General features: G+C 45.3%; 1 protein-coding gene across 4 annotated transcripts in view, besides 1 other annotated feature; it reads left to right on the forward strand.

Annotated features, from left to right (window-relative positions):
- The window catches only part of RBM20 (RNA binding motif protein 20), a 196,224-nt gene that overhangs the window by 151,049 nt on the left and 25,748 nt on the right, over positions 1-19,427 (forward strand). For all 4 annotated transcript variants that reach the window (XM_017016103.3, NM_001134363.3, XM_017016104.3 and 1 more), the window contains exons 6-9: positions 3,215-3,355; positions 5,494-5,625; positions 16,090-16,169; positions 17,985-18,654. In XM_017016103.3, the coding sequence (XP_016871592.1) occupies positions 3,215-3,355; positions 5,494-5,625; positions 16,090-16,169; positions 17,985-18,654 (1,023 nt within the window). The remainder of the gene's footprint in view (positions 1-3,214; positions 3,356-5,493; positions 5,626-16,089; positions 16,170-17,984; positions 18,655-19,427) is intronic.
- Positions 17,656-18,221: an enhancer, noted in NCBI's record as "H3K4me1 hESC enhancer chr10:112571707-112572272 (GRCh37/hg19 assembly coordinates)". NCBI's record gives its function as "activates a minimal SCP1, AML or CMV promoter by ChIP-STARR-seq in naive H9 embryonic stem cells {active_cell/tissue: H9 hESC(naive)}" and the evidence as "EXISTENCE:reporter gene assay evidence [ECO:0000049][PMID:30033119]".

The following is a 19,427-nucleotide window of genomic DNA, read 5'->3' on the forward strand; positions in this document are numbered from 1 at the left end:
ATGGCAGAAAAGAATTTGATGAACCATCCTAAATAAAATATTGGCAAAAGAATAGAACACATAAAAATTAATTTATCTTTCTAACTGGATAGGATTTACCACATGCCCTGAAGCCAGACACCACACAAAAGCAAACTATTAACCTAGAGATTCTCAAGATTTTCATTTCATGGCTCACTTAGAAAATAATCTGCTGAAGTAAATGGTTTAACTGAAGAAGCTACTCATGATCACTGGAGGAACTTGGCCTTCAGCCTGAGGGATCAATATCTTGGCACTCCTATAACCATTTGCAGTTGATGTAGCTCATAATTGGAAAGCTCCAAATTACTATTATCTGGAAGAATACTAAAAATCTCATTAGTGTCTTAATAAATGACAACAAGGGAATTGGTAAAATCCAGCATCTGTTTCTGATTAAAATCTTGGAAGAGAAAGAACTCAGAAGATGTCTTTTTAAAATTTGACTGGAAATTTTAATTGAGACCCATTCACTTAGTGCCTTTGGTAACGACATCTTCAGCATGAATGCTTCTCTTCTTTGGTGACTGGCAGCTGCGAGGTTGTTTTTTCTACTACCCAGCAGCAGCAGTTGCTGTGCTATGTTCCAATAAAAGCCTCTTGAGTTGTCCTTTCAGTCTGGAGGAGACAATGAGAGAGGCACTGGCCCTCATGCCTGTTCACTAGGCAACTGGATAGGCCAGGAGCAGGATAGGCCTGGAACTGCCTTGGGTGTCTGCTCCATTGTCCAAGCACACATTAGCACAGGCCAACCACAGCAAAGTCACATGGGGCAGAAACGTGCCTCGCTAAGAGACCAGGCAGAGCACCTAGCCTCAGCCGTCCTTGTGATAAGCTCAGAGGACCAGCCACTCTACCCTGCTTGAAAGCTCAGCTGTGTCTGCATCTTTAAGTGAACACTCACACTAATGGGAGGCAAAGATTCTGCTTCTTAATAGCACTCCTCCTTTCGTTTCTGCAGAAGGGTTCAGTCCTCACTAGCCAGGCTCAGACTCAAAGTCTCCTAGCTGATGGAGAGTCCATTTGCACTTTAGGAAGATGAGGAGCTGCTCTGGGAGCTGCCTGAATCCTTGCTCCCCTTTGGGAAAGTGCTTGACCTCTGGACATTGCAGAGTGGGAGGTCGGAAAGAGGCACTTGGGCTTCAACAATTCAGGGCTGAACCATAAAAGGAAATTCTTATTGACTGTAATTGTTTTCAGCTCAAATGAGACAAATGAGGGCTTTTCATGGTAGAATTACCCAAGTATTAGCCCTTGTTAGGGGTGACATCTTAGACTTTCCCCCTGTATTACCTTAGCAGAGTCGGCCCCACATCAAATGTAATTAGATGTAGAAGTTCAGTTTAACATAGAAAATTGTGATTATGCAAATGGAGACTATGCTATTAGAATGTGTTTCAGGTTCGGAAAATTATATCCTTCTCTTCCACATTGGGTTGGCTTATGGTTACTAATTCTTGACCCTCCCAGAGATTCCAGGCTGATTAAGGTTTGCACAAAACAGACAGACACACTTCCTCCCTCCAGGAGCTTTGATTAGGGCCAAATGTTGGCTTCCAAACTGTGTTCCTTAGAGGTGCCTTTGAGACTGCCAGGTGGGGGTCGTGCCAGGGTGCCGGACCCCAAGGTTTGACCAGAATAGCTCCTCTTTTATTTGTTGAATACATTGGGATAAACCAGTTTTGTTTGAAGAAAGGACTCCAAGCTAAAAATATTTCGAAAACCACTGCCCTAAACCACAGGTTTTTGCTGTGAATATCAATGCATATGTATTAGATTCCCACAAACTTTCTATGTTCTTTTTTCTTTATTGGAATTGTAAGTCAAACAACATGAGGTATATATGAAGAAGGTTCAGCATGTCTCATCTTACTGCCTTCCCATTCTGCTTCTCTGAAGATAACCAGCATTGACAGGTTGATATATATGCTGCACATCTTTGTCTGTATGTGCTGATATTCTTTAAGCATTTTTTATTGCAAAAATTTTTAAACATACGGAACAGTAGAGACCAGTATAATTAATCCTTGTATACCCATCACCCAATTCCAATAATTATCAAAATTTTACAACACTTGCTTCATCTGTCTTTTTTCATATATTTTTGTTTTCCAAAAATGGCATTATAGTACACATACCACTTGGTAACCTGCTTTTAACTTAACAATCTGTCTTAAAAAGTATTTCATATCACCAAGGTGAGAGAATCACTTGAGGTCAGGATTTCAAGACTAGCCTGGGCAATACAGCAAGACCCTGTTTATACAAAAAATAAAAATTAAAAAATCAGCTGGGTGTGATGGCTCAAGCCATCAATAGTCCCAGCTATTCGGGAGGCTGAGTCGGGAGGATGGCTTGAGCCCAGGAGTTCAAGGCTGCAGTGAGCTATGATTGTGCCACTGCATTCTAGTCTGAGTGGTACAGGAAGACTCTGACTTCTTAAAAAAAATTATTCTATATCAGCACATTTACCTCCTTCTTGTCATGGCTATGTAGTTTTCAATTTTATGATTGAGCCATCCTTTACTCAAACATTTCCCTATTGTTGGACATTCAGGCTGTTCCCCCAATTTTTTGCCACCTAATAAATTACTGTAATAAATGTTCTTGCACATGAGCCATCACATATTGGGGTGCTATTATTTCTATAGGATACATTTCTAAGAGTGGAATGGCAGGATCATGGGCTCTGTATACTTTGTTTTATTTAATATTGCTAAAGTATATTCTCAAAAGTTTACAGATACTCAACCTCCCACTAGCAACATATGGATATGTGCATTTCCTCATATCCTCCACAGCCCTCGTTGTTACTGCTTATAAAAAACATTATTATGAAATGGTGGTGCATGCCTGTGGTCCCAGCTACTTGGGAGGCTGAGATGGGAGAATCACTTGAGTCTGGAAGTCAAGGCTGCAGTAAGCCGTGTTTGCACCACTGCGCTCTAGCCTGGGTGATGGGAGTGAGACCCGGTCTCAAAAATATATATATATATAATGAATCCTTTTGTAAAGAGATAGAATAAAATTGATATTTTATGTGTGTCTGTGAATGGATTTTTTCTGCATTAATTTTGTAAATTATAGTTTTACAATCATTGTTTAGGGGAAAGATAGCCATTAAGAACGTCTGGAAGAGAGGGGAAAAGGGAACCGTCTTCTGAATACCACTAATGATCTTTGTTCCCATTAGTTTGCACAGCGGAAAGGGGCTGGCCGTGTGGTGCACATCTGCAATCTCCCTGAAGGAAGCTGCACTGAGAATGACGTCATTAACCTGGGGCTGCCCTTTGGAAAGGTCACTAATTACATCCTCATGAAGTCGACTAATCAGGTAGGTCTGGGTACTTTCACTCCAGTGTATATGCCACAGACCACACATTAGTGAAAGGGAACGATATAATTTTTGAAAGAAGCCATTCTTAACATAAAGAGGCGATGCCGTAGCTGGCCTTCTGTTGGCATGGCGTAGGTGTTTTTGCTGGTGATGTTTTTTTGTTTCCCCTAGTTTCACTCTAACCTTCTAGTGATAGGTACAGGCCTTTGTGAATTGCCTAGAGGTGAGAGGAGATGCTTTGGAATGAGGTGCTCATTCACATAGAAAGGGTAATTGGCACCCAAAATAAAAATCTATGGACTTGAATCTCTTCACTGTGTTGTCAACCCCCCTGAGCTAATTATAATCTTATCCTCTAAGCCTCTCCTATCTGATGGCCTGGATTTGGAGCCAGCCAAGAACTTGGGACTAGGTATTTTTCCTGGTCCTTGATGTCAGCAGGTGAGGCCCTTTGTCTCACAGCAGGAGAGTAGGAGTGTGAGAATGGATGGATGCTTACTAAGTCTAAGGAACTAAGAATCCTTAACCTGTAGGAGTTGACTGAGCCCTTTGGGATGGAGTACCTTTGTCTTCATTTCTAAAGTCAGGTGGGGAGTTTATACTCCCAACAGTCAGAAATCAGAATATTTTATCTTTTAATGAATATTTTTACTTTATGAATCGGAGGAACAGGCATAGGAAAAATTCTTTTCTTAAAGAAGGCTGAACTTTGGAGACTCATAGCCACATCAGGTCATTAAGCTATCTCTCTCCATCAACCTGGAGTGAGACTACTCACTTGTCTCTGTTCCTACTTCTCAGAAATTCTATTTTGGGTAAATGCACAGAATTCAGCTTGTAACATTGATGTGGTGAGAGTCCCTAGATTAGTATTATTCCCATTTGACAAGTGAGAGCTAGAGGTGCTAAAGTGTTTATCAAGAAAAAGGCACTGAGAAAGCTGGGTGGCAGAATGTGAAATAAAACCCTAAAGAATCTTGACTTCTTAGTCGCCCACGCTAATGCCATAGACTATGACAGCATGGAGAAAAGCTGTGCATCTGAAATTCAGAAATAAATATGAGAGAAGGAAGAGAATGAGCTTGTTTAGATCATTTAGTTTAAGGAAATGAGAGAGTCAGGGGCTCACAGTGAGGGCTTCCCTGTCACCGACCCCTTTTCCCCTGCAGCATTGAGGAATCAGGATCAGTATATTGTCAGTATAGTACAAACCAAACAAATCCAAAAAACAATAGCAGCAACAAATTCACCACACCAACTACTGGGGTAAACTGATGCACAGTCAAAACGGTCTCTTTGGAACTCTCAGTAGACACAGGTTTAGTGGAAAAGCCCATTTGTCTGTGTTTTATCAGAGCAGTTAAATAAAGAAGAAAGATGCTGTGGAAACATAATCGGGAAGTTTTCCTTTTTCTTTAACTCACAACAACATGGCCTTCCTTCAAGCCTAGGGGTTTGTGAGTTCCTGAATTTTTTTATAAGGAAAGTAGAACTCAAATAACCAAAGCTTGTGTCTCTTGCTGTCACCATCACCACCAGAGAGCAAGTTTTATAGGGATCAGCTCAAGGCCACATATGCAACTGCCCCTCCAGGGAAATGTGGGTTAGTGGGCTCTTCCATCTCAGAGGTATTCCATGGCATGATGTAGCCCAGGACAGACATACATAATTAATAACAATGTCTGGTAACCCTGGGGATCAGGAAAGGGCCATCTTATAATGAGCTCTTTTGGTGATGTTTATAAAAAGGTCTCTTTGAACAGATGGGATCAAAGAGATCTCTTCCTTGTGCTGACTTTTTTTCCTTTTAAGTGAGGTATAAAACACATACTCTACAGTGCATAATGTACACTCATCCTAAGTGTACAATTCCATTAATCGGTTACATGTGTACACCCATATAATTAACACCCAGGTAAAGATATAGAGCATTTCCAGAATGTCAGGTTTCCTTATGCTTCTTCTCCATCAGTTCCCCATCCCCACCTGAGAGAGAAGCTCAATGCTAACTCCTGTCACCGTTGATTAGTTTTGCCTGTTCTTGAACTTCATAGACGTGGAATCATGCCTTGTGCTGAATCTTGTTTAAGACCATTAAAGTCAAGTCCAGTGAGTGTCCTTCCTTTCTTTCTTAGGCCTTTTTAGAGATGGCTTACACAGAAGCTGCACAGGCCATGGTCCAGTATTATCAAGAAAAATCTGCTGTGATCAATGGTGAGAAGTTGCTCATTCGGATGTCCAAGAGATACAAGGAATTGCAGCTCAAGGTAAAGCATTATCTTGCTCATTCAGTCATTCAACAAGCACCAGATGAGTTTCTCCTCCGTGTTAGGCACTGACCTAAACGCTGGTGGAAAGGAGAGGATAGGAAAAGATTCAGAAATTACACACTGCCTTTGAGGATCTCGAGGCAAACCATTGCAGCATGGCAAGAAAAGTGCTCTTGAGGTAAATACAAAGTGCAAAGAGACGCCTGAGACTACCTGGGAGCCAAGGAAAGTTTTCCAGAAGAAGATGTTCACAGGGGAACTTTTAAAGGAGGAAGTCAGAAGGGAAAGGTGCTGAGAGTTCCAGGCATAAACCCTTGAATACAACCTTCTCTCCCTATACAGACCTTCAGTAACATTTTCTTCTTCTGTCACCCCCTTGATCTCTTGTTCTCTTCTCTCTCCTTCATATTTACGTCTTAAGCCTCATAGAAGTCCTTCTAAGCAGCCCTTGGCTGAATTGGCCACTGTCAGAACTCAGGGATGCATTCAAATAGTTCCAAACCAGGGTTTGCTTTTGTTTTAGCTGATCTACGTTTCTTTCTTTTCTTTCCTTCTTTTTTGTTTTATTGTGAAGTATAACAGAACACACAGAAAAATGGCTGATTATATATTGTATGGTTTAAAAAGTAATAATGGGTGAGATCTCACAAATCCCGTAAAACCACCACCAAAGTCAAGAAATAGAATATGGACAGCATCCAGAAGCTCCCGTGAGTCCCTCCTCCTGTTCAACCCCTCCCTCTCTACTCTCCTGACTTCAATGATAATCATATCTGTGCTTTTCCTTATAGTTCTATCACCTGTATATGCCTCCCTAAACATTATGGTTTAGTTTTGCCTGTTTTTGAACTTTATATAAATGGAATTATGCTGTGTTCTTACAGATCTTGCTTCTTTCATTCAACATGATGCCATCCATGTTGTTGGGCATGTCTATTTATTTTCATTGTTATATACATTTCCATTGTATGGCTATACAGTTTATCCATTCTACTGTTGATGGACATTTGAGTTGTTTTAGGGACAAGGCTAATCTGAACCTTCTCAAACATGTCATCCTGGTATATATGCACTTGAGCATATAACTAGAGGTACATACATAACTAAGATTGAGATAGCTGCATCATAAGGCATGCTTACCTCAACTTTCCTAGATGATAGCAAGCTCTTTCCAAAATTAGTTGTCTCAAATTTATACTCCTACTAGTAGTGTATTAGAGTTTTCGGCCGGGCGTGGTGGCTCACCCCTGTAATCCCAGCACTTTGGGAGACCAAGGTGGGTGGATCACGAGGTCAGGGGTTCAAGAGCAGCCTGGCCAACATGGTGAAACCCCGTCTCTACTAAAAATACAAAAATTAGCCAGGCGTGGTGGCAGGCGCCTGTAATCTCAGCTACTCGGGAGGCTGAGGCAGGAGAATCGCTTTAACCTGGGAGGCAGAGGTTGCAGTGAGCCAAGATTGTGCCACTGCACTCTAGCCTGGGCAACAAAAGTGAAACTCCGTCTCAAAAAAAAAAAAAAAGTTTTCAATGGTCCACATTCTTGCTAACACATTGTCTTGTCCAACTTTTAAATTTTTGCCTGTCGTGGGAGAGTATCATGGTTTATCACAGTTTTGTTTTGTTTTGTTTTTGAGACGGAGTCTTGCTCTGTCACCAGGCTGGAGCGCAGTGGTGCAATTTTGGCTCACTGCAATCTCCACCTCCCAGGTTCAAGCAATTCTCCTTCCCCACCTCCCGAGTAGCTGGGACTACAGGCACACACCACCATGCCTGGCTACTTTTTTTTTTTTTTTTTTTGTATTTTAATAGAGACAGGGTTTCGCCATATTGGCCAGGATGGTCTCAATATCCTGACCTTATGATCTGCCCGCCTCAGCCTCCCAAAGTGCTGGGATTACAAGCGTGAACCACCGTGCCTGGCCAGTTTATCACAGTTTTATATTTTATTCCCCTAATTGCGCATGGAGATTGAGCACTTTTTCATCTGTTTGTTGGCTGTTCCATCTGGATCTTCTCTGATGGGCTGTTTCTTTTCAGGTCATCTGCCCATGCTTTTCTTTTGCATTGTGTCTTCTTATTGGTTTGCAGGAGTTCTCTTAACTGGAGCACGTAGTCTATTTGGATTTCTTGTAATTAATGCTGTATTAGTGTTTGAATCTACCCTCTTATTTTGTGCTTTCTACTGTTCCATTTAATAGGGATTTTCCCGTTCACTTTAGCTCATTCCACATTGACTTAGGGTCCATTTTGTCTAAGACCCACAGGCCTTAATCCACCTTCAAGGTTGAAGTTAGAAGACAAAGGCTTAGTGGATGTTTCTGGCTAGGACTGGCATTCTGACAAGTCTCCATATGTAGATGGGCACTGTGTCAACCAGCTTCCAGAGTCCTGAATCTGCTTTGCTTGCATCATTGCCTCTGAAATTCCTTTACTAACAGTTCTCCTTCAGGCAGAACCTGGCTTTTTTTTTTTTTTTTTTCCTAATAAAAGTATATTGCTTCTTTCAGACAAGTAAGCATCCCACCCCATTCTATATCCAACCAAAGTTCCTGGTCTCCTGGATTCTTCCCTGGGGGCTGGAATTGAATTTCTACACTAAGTTCCCAGTAGAGCTTTGGTCTCCAAATGAGATGTTGTCATAAGTTTCTAATTAGGATTAACGGCAGTAATTGGCTTCTTAAATTAAAGTACCAAAGCATAGCAATACCTTCCTGAGGGAGATAGTTTGGGGTGGTGCAAAAAACATGGGTTAAAGAGGTCAGATGGTCGAGTTTTGCTTTCAGCAAATGTGCACTGAGTGCTCACCGTGGGTGGAACTGGGCCAGGTGCCATGGAGGGAGAAGTAGCAAGCTGGCGAGGAGCTCAGTCTGGTGGGAGAAAAAGCAAATAAACAAAGAACCACTGACAACCATGTGACCTATCCTAGATTGGAAGATGGTGATGTCAGCCTGGGCTCTACCGCTTCCTGCTTTAGTGAGCTTAGAAAAGTTGCTTAACCTCTGTGAACCTCAGTTTACAGATCAGGAAAGGACTATACTTTGAGTTATTTGGCTTTAAGTATTTTTTTTCATACATTATCTTTTCAGTCTCGTAATCACTGTACCCTGTGAAGTGTGTAGGGTGTATAATAGCAGTAATTATAAGAGTACAACAATAACAATAATGTATACCTTTAATTGAGTCCCGGTACTCTGGGGCAAAGAAGTTTACATACATTATTTAATCCTGACATCAGTCCTGTTAGACAGGTATTATTATCTCAGTTTTACAGATGAGGAATCTGAAGCTAATAGAAATTCAGGAACTTGCCCAGGATTGTACTTAGCTACTGGAAGAGCTATGATTAAAACTTAGTGCTGTTTTGGTTTTGCACTAAAGCTGCATTGTTATAGTGTGTTATCATGATCTCTGTTGTCTATGTGAAAAAAACCTGAGAAATCAGGTAATTTGCTTATAGTCACCCAGCCAAGAAGCCGCAGAGATAGTATTCTAACAGAGCTTCTCAAGCTTCAGTGTGCATACAGATCACTTGGTGATGTTGTGAAAACTCACTTTGATTCAGCATATCTAGGGTAGTGCTGTTATTGCGTATTTCTAACGAGGTCCCAGGAGATGCTGCTGCTGGTGGTCCTCGGAGAACACTTTGAATAGAAAGGGCGCAGAACACATTATTTTCTGATCTTTAGCAGGGCTTTTCTGCTCCCCAAGCTGCCATATTCCCTCTTAAGGCATTGTGAAGGTCGCATGGAATAACAGATGTGAAAACAACTTAATGTATGTCTCAACTACATAGTAATGCATGCTTTATGGTCCCTATGTTGATATGAATCAGCTGCCACTCTGTCTGCACGTAACAGAAATTCATCTCCATTAAGCCTGTTGGCTTAAGCAAAAAAAAAAAAAAAAAAAAAAAAAAAGAATTTATGGATGCATGTAAATGAAACGTCCAGGAGTAGATCTGGCTGCAGGTGCGGCTGGATTCAGGACCCAGAGACCCTCATTAGGACTTGGTTTCTCTCCACGCTGCCTTCTGCTCTTTTGGCTTTGTTTACTGGGGGCTCCCTGGGATGGGCCGTAGCAGCCCAGGCTCTCTCCTCTAGGTGGCATGATGGCTACAGTGACCTCAGCAGCTCTTTCTCCCCCTTCCCTTTCCTTCAACAAGAGAAAGCCAGAGTTTTTTCCTAGAAGCTCCCACAAAAGTCCTGAGACTTTTGAGAGAGAGTCGCTCTGACTGGACTAGCTTAGCACAGGTGCACATTCCTGAATTGATCTCTGGCCAGGGCTAGGCCATGCTGTGATTGGCTGGACCTGTGTCATCTGCTACATCCTCAGAGCTGGGACAGAGACCCACCTAGAGCTCTGGAGCAAGATGAGGGAGGAACAGCTGCTATCAGGAGGAGGGAGAGTGGCTACCGGGAAGGTAGAGGGCAAACACTGTATCCATGTGTGTCTCTGGGCCAAAGGGGCTGCATATGAGGTCCCACCAGGGTTTGCAGAGGTGGGGAGAAATTCTGATTGCTCTTTCTCCTCTAACTTTATCTTTTGCTCACCAGGTAAAGTATAGGGAGAGAAGGGAGAGATTTTAAGGTATTTTTCATTTCCTCTCTTGAATATTTCTTCATGCACATATCTTATCTCCCCATATACTTCCTGTGGCAAGGGAGTTCCTCAGCTTATTTGAGGCAGAACCTTTCACATGATAGATGTTTAATAAATATGCAAAATGAATAAGAAAGAGAAAATCTGAAGGAACAACAAAAAGTGAGTAGCCTTCTTCCTGCAGACCTGGACAAGATGATTGGAATATATTCTGGGTTGTTCTATGGAAACTTCGTCAATAAGTATGGAATCATAATCTCTCTGATGCAGAAGTGAACTTGGAATAATTTAAACCAGTGTCTCCCAGTCACTTCATCAGAGGGTCATCAGGGGATTTTTTGTGGGGGGAGTCCTCTTGCCCAGAGATTCTCTTCAATAGGCTTCGGGTGGGAATGAGACTCCCAGGTGCTTTTGAGGGCAGAGGGTCTGGTTTCAGAGCCATTGGTCTTGCCAGCCTCCTCGCTACAGAGAGGGCTTCTGGCCCTGGGAAGCAGTCTTGTGAATGGTCCATGGTGCTCTCAGTTGGGAAGATGATTGAGAGTCTTCTCTATGTGCTGATAGTTACAAAGCAATACAAGACATGGTTCTCAGTTGGGAAGAGTTCACTCTCCAACTGGGAGACAAATTATTCTTGTGCAAAATTACACAAGATTTAAACATGAGTGCATAAGTACAGGAGCTACCAGAAGTTCCATGGCAAAAGGCAGTGTGACTGAGGGGTGTGAAAAAGGGAAGAGATTCCTAAACAAGGCCTTGAAGAAGGGGAGAATTAGCTAAAGAGAGACAGAGCTTCCAGGCAGGAGTCGGGTGAGTGATGATGTCGAGCCTAGAAAGCCTGGTAATGTTGAAACAGTCAGGGCTGCCTTGACAGGATCTGGCTCAGATGAGTTCTGGGCTCATCTAGAAGGTTTCAGTGTCTTCCCAGGACTCTTGAAGTGTGTAAAACAGGTGTGGAGTTGTCAGAGGGCATGAAACTTTCCAGCAGCTCCCTTCATGTTGGCCAAGCACTCTGTGACTTTTACGGGTGTAGCCTGCCATGCCCTGAGGCTTTTGGTGGATGCCAGATGGGCCTCATTAACCCACCTTCACTGGTGGAGAAAGTGAGTTTCCCATCGGCAATAAGCCTTGACCCAGGGTGACCTAGCCAGGTGCGGGCAGGGCTGGGGCTGCTCTTCCTGGGTTGAGATTCCTAGTGGTGGTGCCTCCCTCTTAATATGCCAGCACTTTTCTAGGACTGCATGGGGCTTGGAATCTCACCCTTGTCTTAAAAGCAGCAAGATGTGTTAACTCTGAGCACTGTAGTTGGTCCCTTGTGGGGCTGTTGAGCGGAATCATTGTCATCACAGAATGGATGTAAAGATAACAATGTCTGACGTTTGCTTCAAAATAATATAGGGGGTGGGGAAGGAGGGTGGTGAGTACAGATGTGTATTAGTCCGTTCTCACACTGCTTTAAAGAACTGCCTGAGGCCAGGCCGTGGTGGCTCACGCCTGTAATCCCAGCACTTTGGGAGGCCGAGGTGGGCGGATCACTTGAGGTCAGGGGTTCAAGAGCAGCCTGACCAACATGGTGAAACCTAAACTAAAAATACAAAAATTAGCCAGGTGTGGTGGCGGGCACCTGTAATCCCAGATGCTTGGGAAGCTGAGGCAGGAGAATCGCTTGAACCCAGAAGGCAGAGGTTGCAGTGAGCCAAGGTCGCACCACTGCACTCCAGCCTGGGACACAGTGTGAGACTCCGTCTCAAAAAAAAAAAAAAGAACTACCTGAAACTGGGTAATTTATAAAGAAAAGAGCTTTAATTGGCTCATGGTTCCACAGGCTGCATAGGAAACATGGCTGTGGAGGCCTCAGAAAACTTACAGTCGTGGCAGAAGGCAAAGGGGAAGCAGACATGTCTTTCATGGCCAGAGCAGGAGTTAGAGTGGGAGCAGGGAGGTGCTACACACTTTTAAACAGCCAGATCTCGTGAGAACTCTGTCACGAGAGTAGTACTGGGGGATGGTGCTAAACCATTAAAAACCACCCACATGATCCAGTCACCTCCCACCAGGCCCCACCTTCAACATCTGGGATTACAATTGAACATGAGATTTGGGTGGGGACACAGAACCAAACCATATCAAAATGCAACAAGATTAGTCATCATTGTTGGCTGAAGATGGGTAATGGATTCTTCGGGGTTCAGTAAACCATTCTCTCTACTTTTGTGTATGTTTGAAATTTTCTACAATGAAAAGGTAACCAAAATTTTATCATAGACCTACTCTTTTCTCTCCCATTTCAATTTTTCTGGGGTGATTACAGCTTTGTTTCACCTGCCTTCTTTATGCCTTTACCCACAGAATACAGAAGCTGGCCAAAGAGGAAGGTGGAGAGAATTTTCTTAGGGCTTTCCGAAGTCAATTCTCTTATTTGAAAATCTTTGGCTACTTCTGTCCCCTTTTCAGATGGCAGCTGGCAGCTGGTCCAGAGAGCACCAAACAATTTGCAATTACCACCTAAAATAGCAGAACTGATGCTCTGATCCTCAGGAGGGATCACAATACCTGTGACCACTAGCCCCAGCGTGCAGTATTTGCAGATTCATATTCATTCTCTGCAGCCACATCCTTCCATCTCTCCAGCCATGCATCTTGGGATTAGTGTTAGGGAGCACCTGCTCCATGCCAGGCTCTGTGCTGGTGCTGGCTGTGTGAAGATTATCAGCCCAGGGGCCCCCTCACTGGGGACCTGGGATCCGGATAGAAGTAACTCCAGGAGGTATGGGCTGAAAGTGACCCCAGGAGGAGGTTCTGTGGTTAAGAAAATAAGGGGCAGAGGAATGTTTAAGCCAAGGAGAGGCTCTTCTAAGCTCACTCTAACTGCACCTCTTTGACCCCTGGGAAACTGCATGGGCCACTAGAGGATGTTTTCATCTGCAGTGTCTGATCAGCCCGCTCTGCCCCTCACTGGGGGCACCCCTGAGGGGAAGGGCCTGGGGGTGCCATCTGTGATAACCAACGTGCAGAAGGGACCAAGAGCTCGTGGAATGCCTCTGGCCCTGACATTGGCCTGACCTGCTCCTGCCCCCATGCACCTGAGCCCTACCCTCATAGTCACTCTGCCATGGGTAATCTGCAAAACCTCAGCCGCTCCCTGCCAAGACCATCCTCCTCCCACGTCGGTCTTTCCTGGATCTGGGCTGGAAGGAATAACCAGGAGGATATGAAGTTCCAGAAGAGCAGAAGAAAACTGGAACCTTGGGGACTCTTTTTACAACAGAAAGCTCCCCATCCAACTCCCATGGGGAATTTTATGTTCTGAAGAATTGCCATATACATTTATGCCAGTCTGGGGGCACATTCTTTAGCCTTTGTCTATTCTAGCTTGGCAGTGCAAGCCACAGATTTGGGAGGGACCCGGGGTGTGGCTTCCCGGCGATGGCAGATCTCATGTCATGGTCTTGGTCCTGATGGTTCCCACCAGCTTTCCCAAGCTCTGCTGCTCCCCTGGTGCCTGTGTGAAGGCAGTGCTGTGACAGGTCCTTTCAGGGACCAGCCATCCCAGCTGGCTTTCCCTTGATGATACAGTAGCCGGAGTTCATTGTGTGGCCCAAGGTGGGCAGGCAGGAAGAAGACCTGCTTGGTGGGATCCACATCAAGTGCAGTCAGCTCCAAGTGAGCCTCTTCTTCTACCCCAAGTGACAACCGACCCTGGCTGAAGGACCAGTGGTCTCTAGCCACACGGTGGGGTGGGAGGAGACATCCTGGGCAGCAGCTTTCTTCTTGGCCGACACCAACAGGCTTGGCTTCTATCCTTGTTTGGCCTTGGTCTGAACAAGGTCCAGTTTAAGTGGCTGAGGTGCTGGAGGCCAGTGCAAGTCTTGGGTGATCTGGTAATTTGTAGGTGGCACTTTCATGGGCTTTACAGAGGGTTGATCTCTACAGCTCCAGTTTGACATAAGGGACCATTTGCCAAAGTTGTGGTGCCTTTTCTTGTGGACATCCTGCCCAGTGCTGAGTTCCTGGGCCTTTTCTTGAATGGGGGATTGGCTGACTTCTAAAACCTCTGACTTATTCACAAGCACAGTTGAAGGAGTCACTGCCTTCTCTTTGACTTTCTTTCATTTTGCATCTCCATATGACAAGAGGTGAGGTCCCTCCCTCACTTGAACATTTTATATCTCTTTTCTGTGTCCTGACCTCTCTCCCTGAAACTGCAGGCAGCTCCTCCTTCATTCTCACCTTTACTCTGTGTTTTTCCCAGCCCAACCCTCTATCTCAACAATAACAGATAATCAGCCACGCCACTCAGAGCACTCATACCATGCTAGGCCAGCTAGATCACATCTCTGGACCTGAGATTCCCATCTGTCAAATGAGATACGTGATGCTTTTTAACATTTGTATGGCTCTTATTGCATGATTTAGCTGGGCGTGGTGGTTCATGCCTGTAATCCCTGCACTTTGAGAGGCCAAGGCAGGAGGATTGCTTGAGCCCGGGCGTTCAAGACCAGCCCTGGCAACATAGCGAGACCTTGTCTTTTATAAAACCTAAAAAAATTAGCCTGGTGTGGTGGTGAGCCCCTGTAGTCCCAACTACTTTGGAGGCTGAAGTGGGAGAATCACTTGTGCCTGGGAGGTTGAGGCTTTCAGTGAGCTGTGATTGTACCATTGCATTCCAGCCTGAGTGACAGAGCAAGACCCCGTTTCTTAAAAAAAAAAAAAATTGCATGATTCTTTGTAAATTACATAGAAAAAATCAAGGAAAAAAAGTCGATTAAATTTAATAAAACTCATTATCAAAAGTTTACATAGACTGAGGGTTTTTAGTCTTGGTCTTTAAAAAAATCAGCTTTATTTTTTGAGATATAACTCACATTCCATAAAATTCACTCTGCTTGCTACATTTTTATGTAAGGGATGAATTCTGCATAGTCTTCAGGAAGATGCTCCTGTTGCCTTTTGTGCTTATGAATTTCTTTTTAAAAATCATTTATTATTTATTTATTTTGGTTATCATGTGTCCATTCTGGGTTTAGGAAAGGGCTTTGGTCGGGAATGGGGGGCTGGGGTTGGTCCTGTCCTGGCATAGCCACCGTCTAATGACCTCTGGGAAGGATGGAGCCCTGGCTGCCTACTATTCTCAGCTGTGAAGCCCGACTCCCAGCTTATGCCACCCTCCTCACAGATTTACTTTGAGCATCAGCTGATGTCTGTGCTTGAGGTGTTGAAGGGGGCACAGAGCATGGAAAGCATGGAAAGGAACTTGGAGTTAAAATACCTGGTGTCAGGTCCTGATTCTTTTCACTATCTGTGTGACCTTGAAGTGTTCCTTAACCCAATACAACTCCAAGAGTCACCAACTGCATGGAACACAGGGTGGCTGGTGACCCTGGAGCTGTGCAGAGCAGAGACCCTGCCTCAACCTCTCTGGCTCTAAGTTTCCATAGATATAAAAAGCGGAGGCTGCAGTCAATGATCTTCAAGTCTTTCCAAGTTTACAATGCATGCCTGCCTGCCTTCCTTCCCTCCCTCCATCCCTCTGTCCTTTTCTTTCTTTCACATTTTAATTTTTTTTTATTCGGGCAGAGGTGGGTATTAACAAATGCTGCTTGTCTCCAGCACATGGATGTGAACACCAGGCTCCTTCCTTCCCCAGCTCAATGGACCACTCAGTGTTCTCTGGGCCACACAGCCCCACCCAGTTCAGCATTATACTCACACTCATCCGTTGGATTACACCTTTTGTCTTCCCCACACAAGGTATTTTTTCCCTTTTGGTGGACCAGGCAATGAATGACCCAGGTCAGAGCTGCTTCCCTCAGGTGTTTGCAAGGCCATCTCTGATCTGATGGTGATCTCTCTGACTTTGCTAGAAACCCGGGAAGGCCGTGGCTGCCATCATCCAGGACATCCATTCCCAGAGGGAGAGGGACATGTTCCGGGAAGCAGACAGGTGAGGCCCCAAGCCCCAAGTCTCCAGGCAGGTTCTGGGCAGTGGGAACAGACTCCTGTTTCTCATTCTTAGGGGCATTTGAGTCATGCTGTGCCCTGTTCTTGCCCCTACCCCATCCATCTGCTTTTCTGGGTCCCACTTTTCCATGTTCCCCATGAAAAACACCAGTCCAGTTCAGACATGCTGCTCCGGTTAACCTCAGGAAAATACAAAATGCTGAGCTTCCCTTCAGCTCCTCACCCTTTGTTGGAAAATAATATAGGAAAAGGTCTGTTAATATTTGGCCCTTTGGGGCAAGTCTACACCCTATTAAAACAGCCTAAAAGTAATGCGTGTGTGTGTGTGTGTGTGTGCGTGTGTGCGTGTGTGTGTGCATGTGTGTGCGTGTGTGTGTGTGTGTACGTGTGGCTTCGTTTAGAACCAGCTCTTGGTTTTCATAAGTTGAATGTAGATGTAGGAAGTAAAATGTAGATGGTTAAAAAAAATCAGTTATTTGAACAGTCACTTTCTCGAAACATTGAATATATTCAGTTTTCCAACCCATTTCTTCCAACCGAAGTTTGTGATCAGGCCAAGCTGGGGCTATAAGTTGACCACTGTCACTCCCCTACAAAGACAGTTCCTGAAGAGAACCAAGGTAGAAAACTGCAGGAGCAGGCACCTGGCTGGCACGTCCTGGGGTTCTTGCTGGGGTGGCCACAGTCGGTGCTGTCACTTCCCTGTAGAGGGCACAAGCCCAGGGTGTTTCCCCCATGATGGTCAAGGCAGCCTGGTCCTAGCAAGATGCACCTTGGTGTCCCCTGGTCAGTGAGGGCTACGTGGTTTTCCTGTGTTTGGGAACTTAATGAAAAAATGCCCATCCTTTTAGAATATCGGATATATGACTCAGTTGACCTGCTTAATAACCAAACAGCCTTCAGAGTGTATCTGTATATATGTGCGTATATCTTTGTACGTAACTGTTCAGGCTGGGAATCTTTATTTGTTTATTAGTCTGTCTGTTTTTTTAAAAAAATTCTGATTATTTGGGTTTTTTAAAGACGTGTAAAGCCACATCTTGCCACCTGCAATTCTGCGGCAGAGTGGAGGGGGGTTAGGAAGTCTTGTTCTGAACCTTACACAGGTTGGGGTCCTTGTCTGGGTTTCAGTTTCTTCATCTCAGACGTGTAGATCAGGATTCTAGAGTATCTTCCAACCCTAAAATGCCTTCCTAATTCTTTTTTTTAACCTCTGAGCGTGCCCTCCCCAATAGTTAGCATCCCTTTTCCATGCATAAATTGAGCTGAGAAATAAATGAGAAAACTGGAGGCTAAGAGGTTGGCTTCATTCTGATACAGCCCAAATGTAGGAGTGGCTTCAAGTCTTGTAGCTAAGAGGCCGGCTAATGGCACCCAGGGTTAGGCAGCCTTACCCACTAGGCTGGACTAGGGCAATCTTGCCCCCCAGCGCCCACCCCGCACACCCCCAGGAGGAGAGTCAGAGGTCCGCTCCCTGAGCATAGCTCCCTTCCAAGAGAAGGCAAGCTGGAACCGAGCCAAATCAGCCCAGTTCTTCTTCCTAGTTCCCAGGAGCAGAATGAGTAAAGGCACAGCGAGTGGCCAGTGCTGTGCTTAGGAGAAGTCCTCTGCACGGAAGCCAGAAGGGAGGAAAAGGCTTTCTCCTGAACCACTCTGTGTGGTTCTGTAGAGTTGGGAGTTAAGAGTGTACACAGTTACATGCACAGTATATCTAAGACAGAGACTGTGTGTCTGTGTGTGGGTGGGGTGGGATGGGAGGTGTGAAGATTCTAAATCCTGCTCCTTGGCTCCCTCACAGATATGGCCCAGAAAGGCCGCGGTCTCGTAGTCCGGTGAGCCGGTCACTCTCCCCGAGGTCCCACACTCCCAGCTTCACCTCCTGCAGCTCTTCCCACAGCCCTCCGGGCCCCTCCCGGGCTGACTGGGGCAATGGCCGGGACTCCTGGGAGCACTCTCCCTATGCCAGGAGGGAGGAAGAGCGAGACCCGGCTCCCTGGAGGGACAACGGAGATGACAAGAGGGACAGGATGGACCCCTGGGCACATGATCGCAAACACCACCCCCGGCAACTGGACAAGGCTGAGTTGGACGAGCGACCAGAAGGAGGGAGGCCCCACCGGGAGAAGTACCCGAGATCTGGGTCTCCCAACCTGCCCCACTCTGTGTCCAGCTACAAAAGCCGTGAAGACGGCTACTACCGGAAAGAGCCCAAAGCCAAGTCGGACAAGTATCTGAAGCAGCAGCAGGATGCCCCCGGGAGGTCCAGGAGGAAAGACGAGGCCAGGCTGCGGGAAAGCAGACACCCCCATCCGGATGACTCAGGCAAGGAAGATGGGCTGGGGCCAAAGGTCACTAGGGCCCCTGAGGGCGCCAAGGCCAAGCAGAATGAGAAAAATAAAACCAAGAGAACTGATAGAGACCAAGAAGGAGCTGATGATAGAAAAGAAAACACAATGGCAGAGAATGAGGTAATGATCAATTTCTTCCCCAGGTAAGGCGAGGCAGGCCCTGAAGGAGAATAATCATAATAATATAATGAGGATGAACGTTTATTGAATGAATGAACATTTACTGGCTATTTACTATGCGCTAGGCACTGTGCAAGACACTTTATCTCAATGAACTCATTTAATCCTCACAGGTTTTGAGTACCAACCTTTGAGCTTGGTACTATTGTTACTGCAGGTGAGGAGACTGAGGCACAGAGAACTTACGTTATTTGTCCAAGAACACACGGTCAGGAAATGGCAGACCCAGAATTATACCAAGGAGATCTGGCCCCAAATCCCATGGCACCTGTTGCCTTTACTAGAAGTTAGGGTGGGACATCATGGAAAGGCCTGTAGTCCTGTTCGTCCAGTAGGGAGTGGCCTGAGGTGTTTGCACCCAAAGAGCCTCCCAAGGGAGATTAGATCTTTGGTTCATTCTGTCCTCCCTCCTGCCAGAAGCATTTACCAGTCCTGGAACTCTGAGGAGAAGTGGTGAAGGAGAAGCCGTCACCACCTGCTAAATTAAACTGGGTGCCCAGAGCTGTCCACAGTGTTTTACCTCCACTCTAATAAAAATGCACGGTGGCTGGGCACAGTGGCTCATGCCTGTAATCCTAGCACTTTGGGAGGCCGAGGCAGGCAGATCACCTGAGGTCAGGAGTTCGAGACCAGCCTGGCCAATATGGTGAAACCCTGTCTCTACTAAAAATACAAAAATTAGCCAGGCAAGGTGGTGCACCCCTGTAGTCCCA

This window comes from Homo sapiens, chromosome 10, assembly GCF_000001405.40.
Source record: "Homo sapiens chromosome 10, GRCh38.p14 Primary Assembly".
In the NCBI taxonomy this organism is placed as follows: domain Eukaryota; kingdom Metazoa; phylum Chordata; class Mammalia; order Primates; family Hominidae; genus Homo; species Homo sapiens.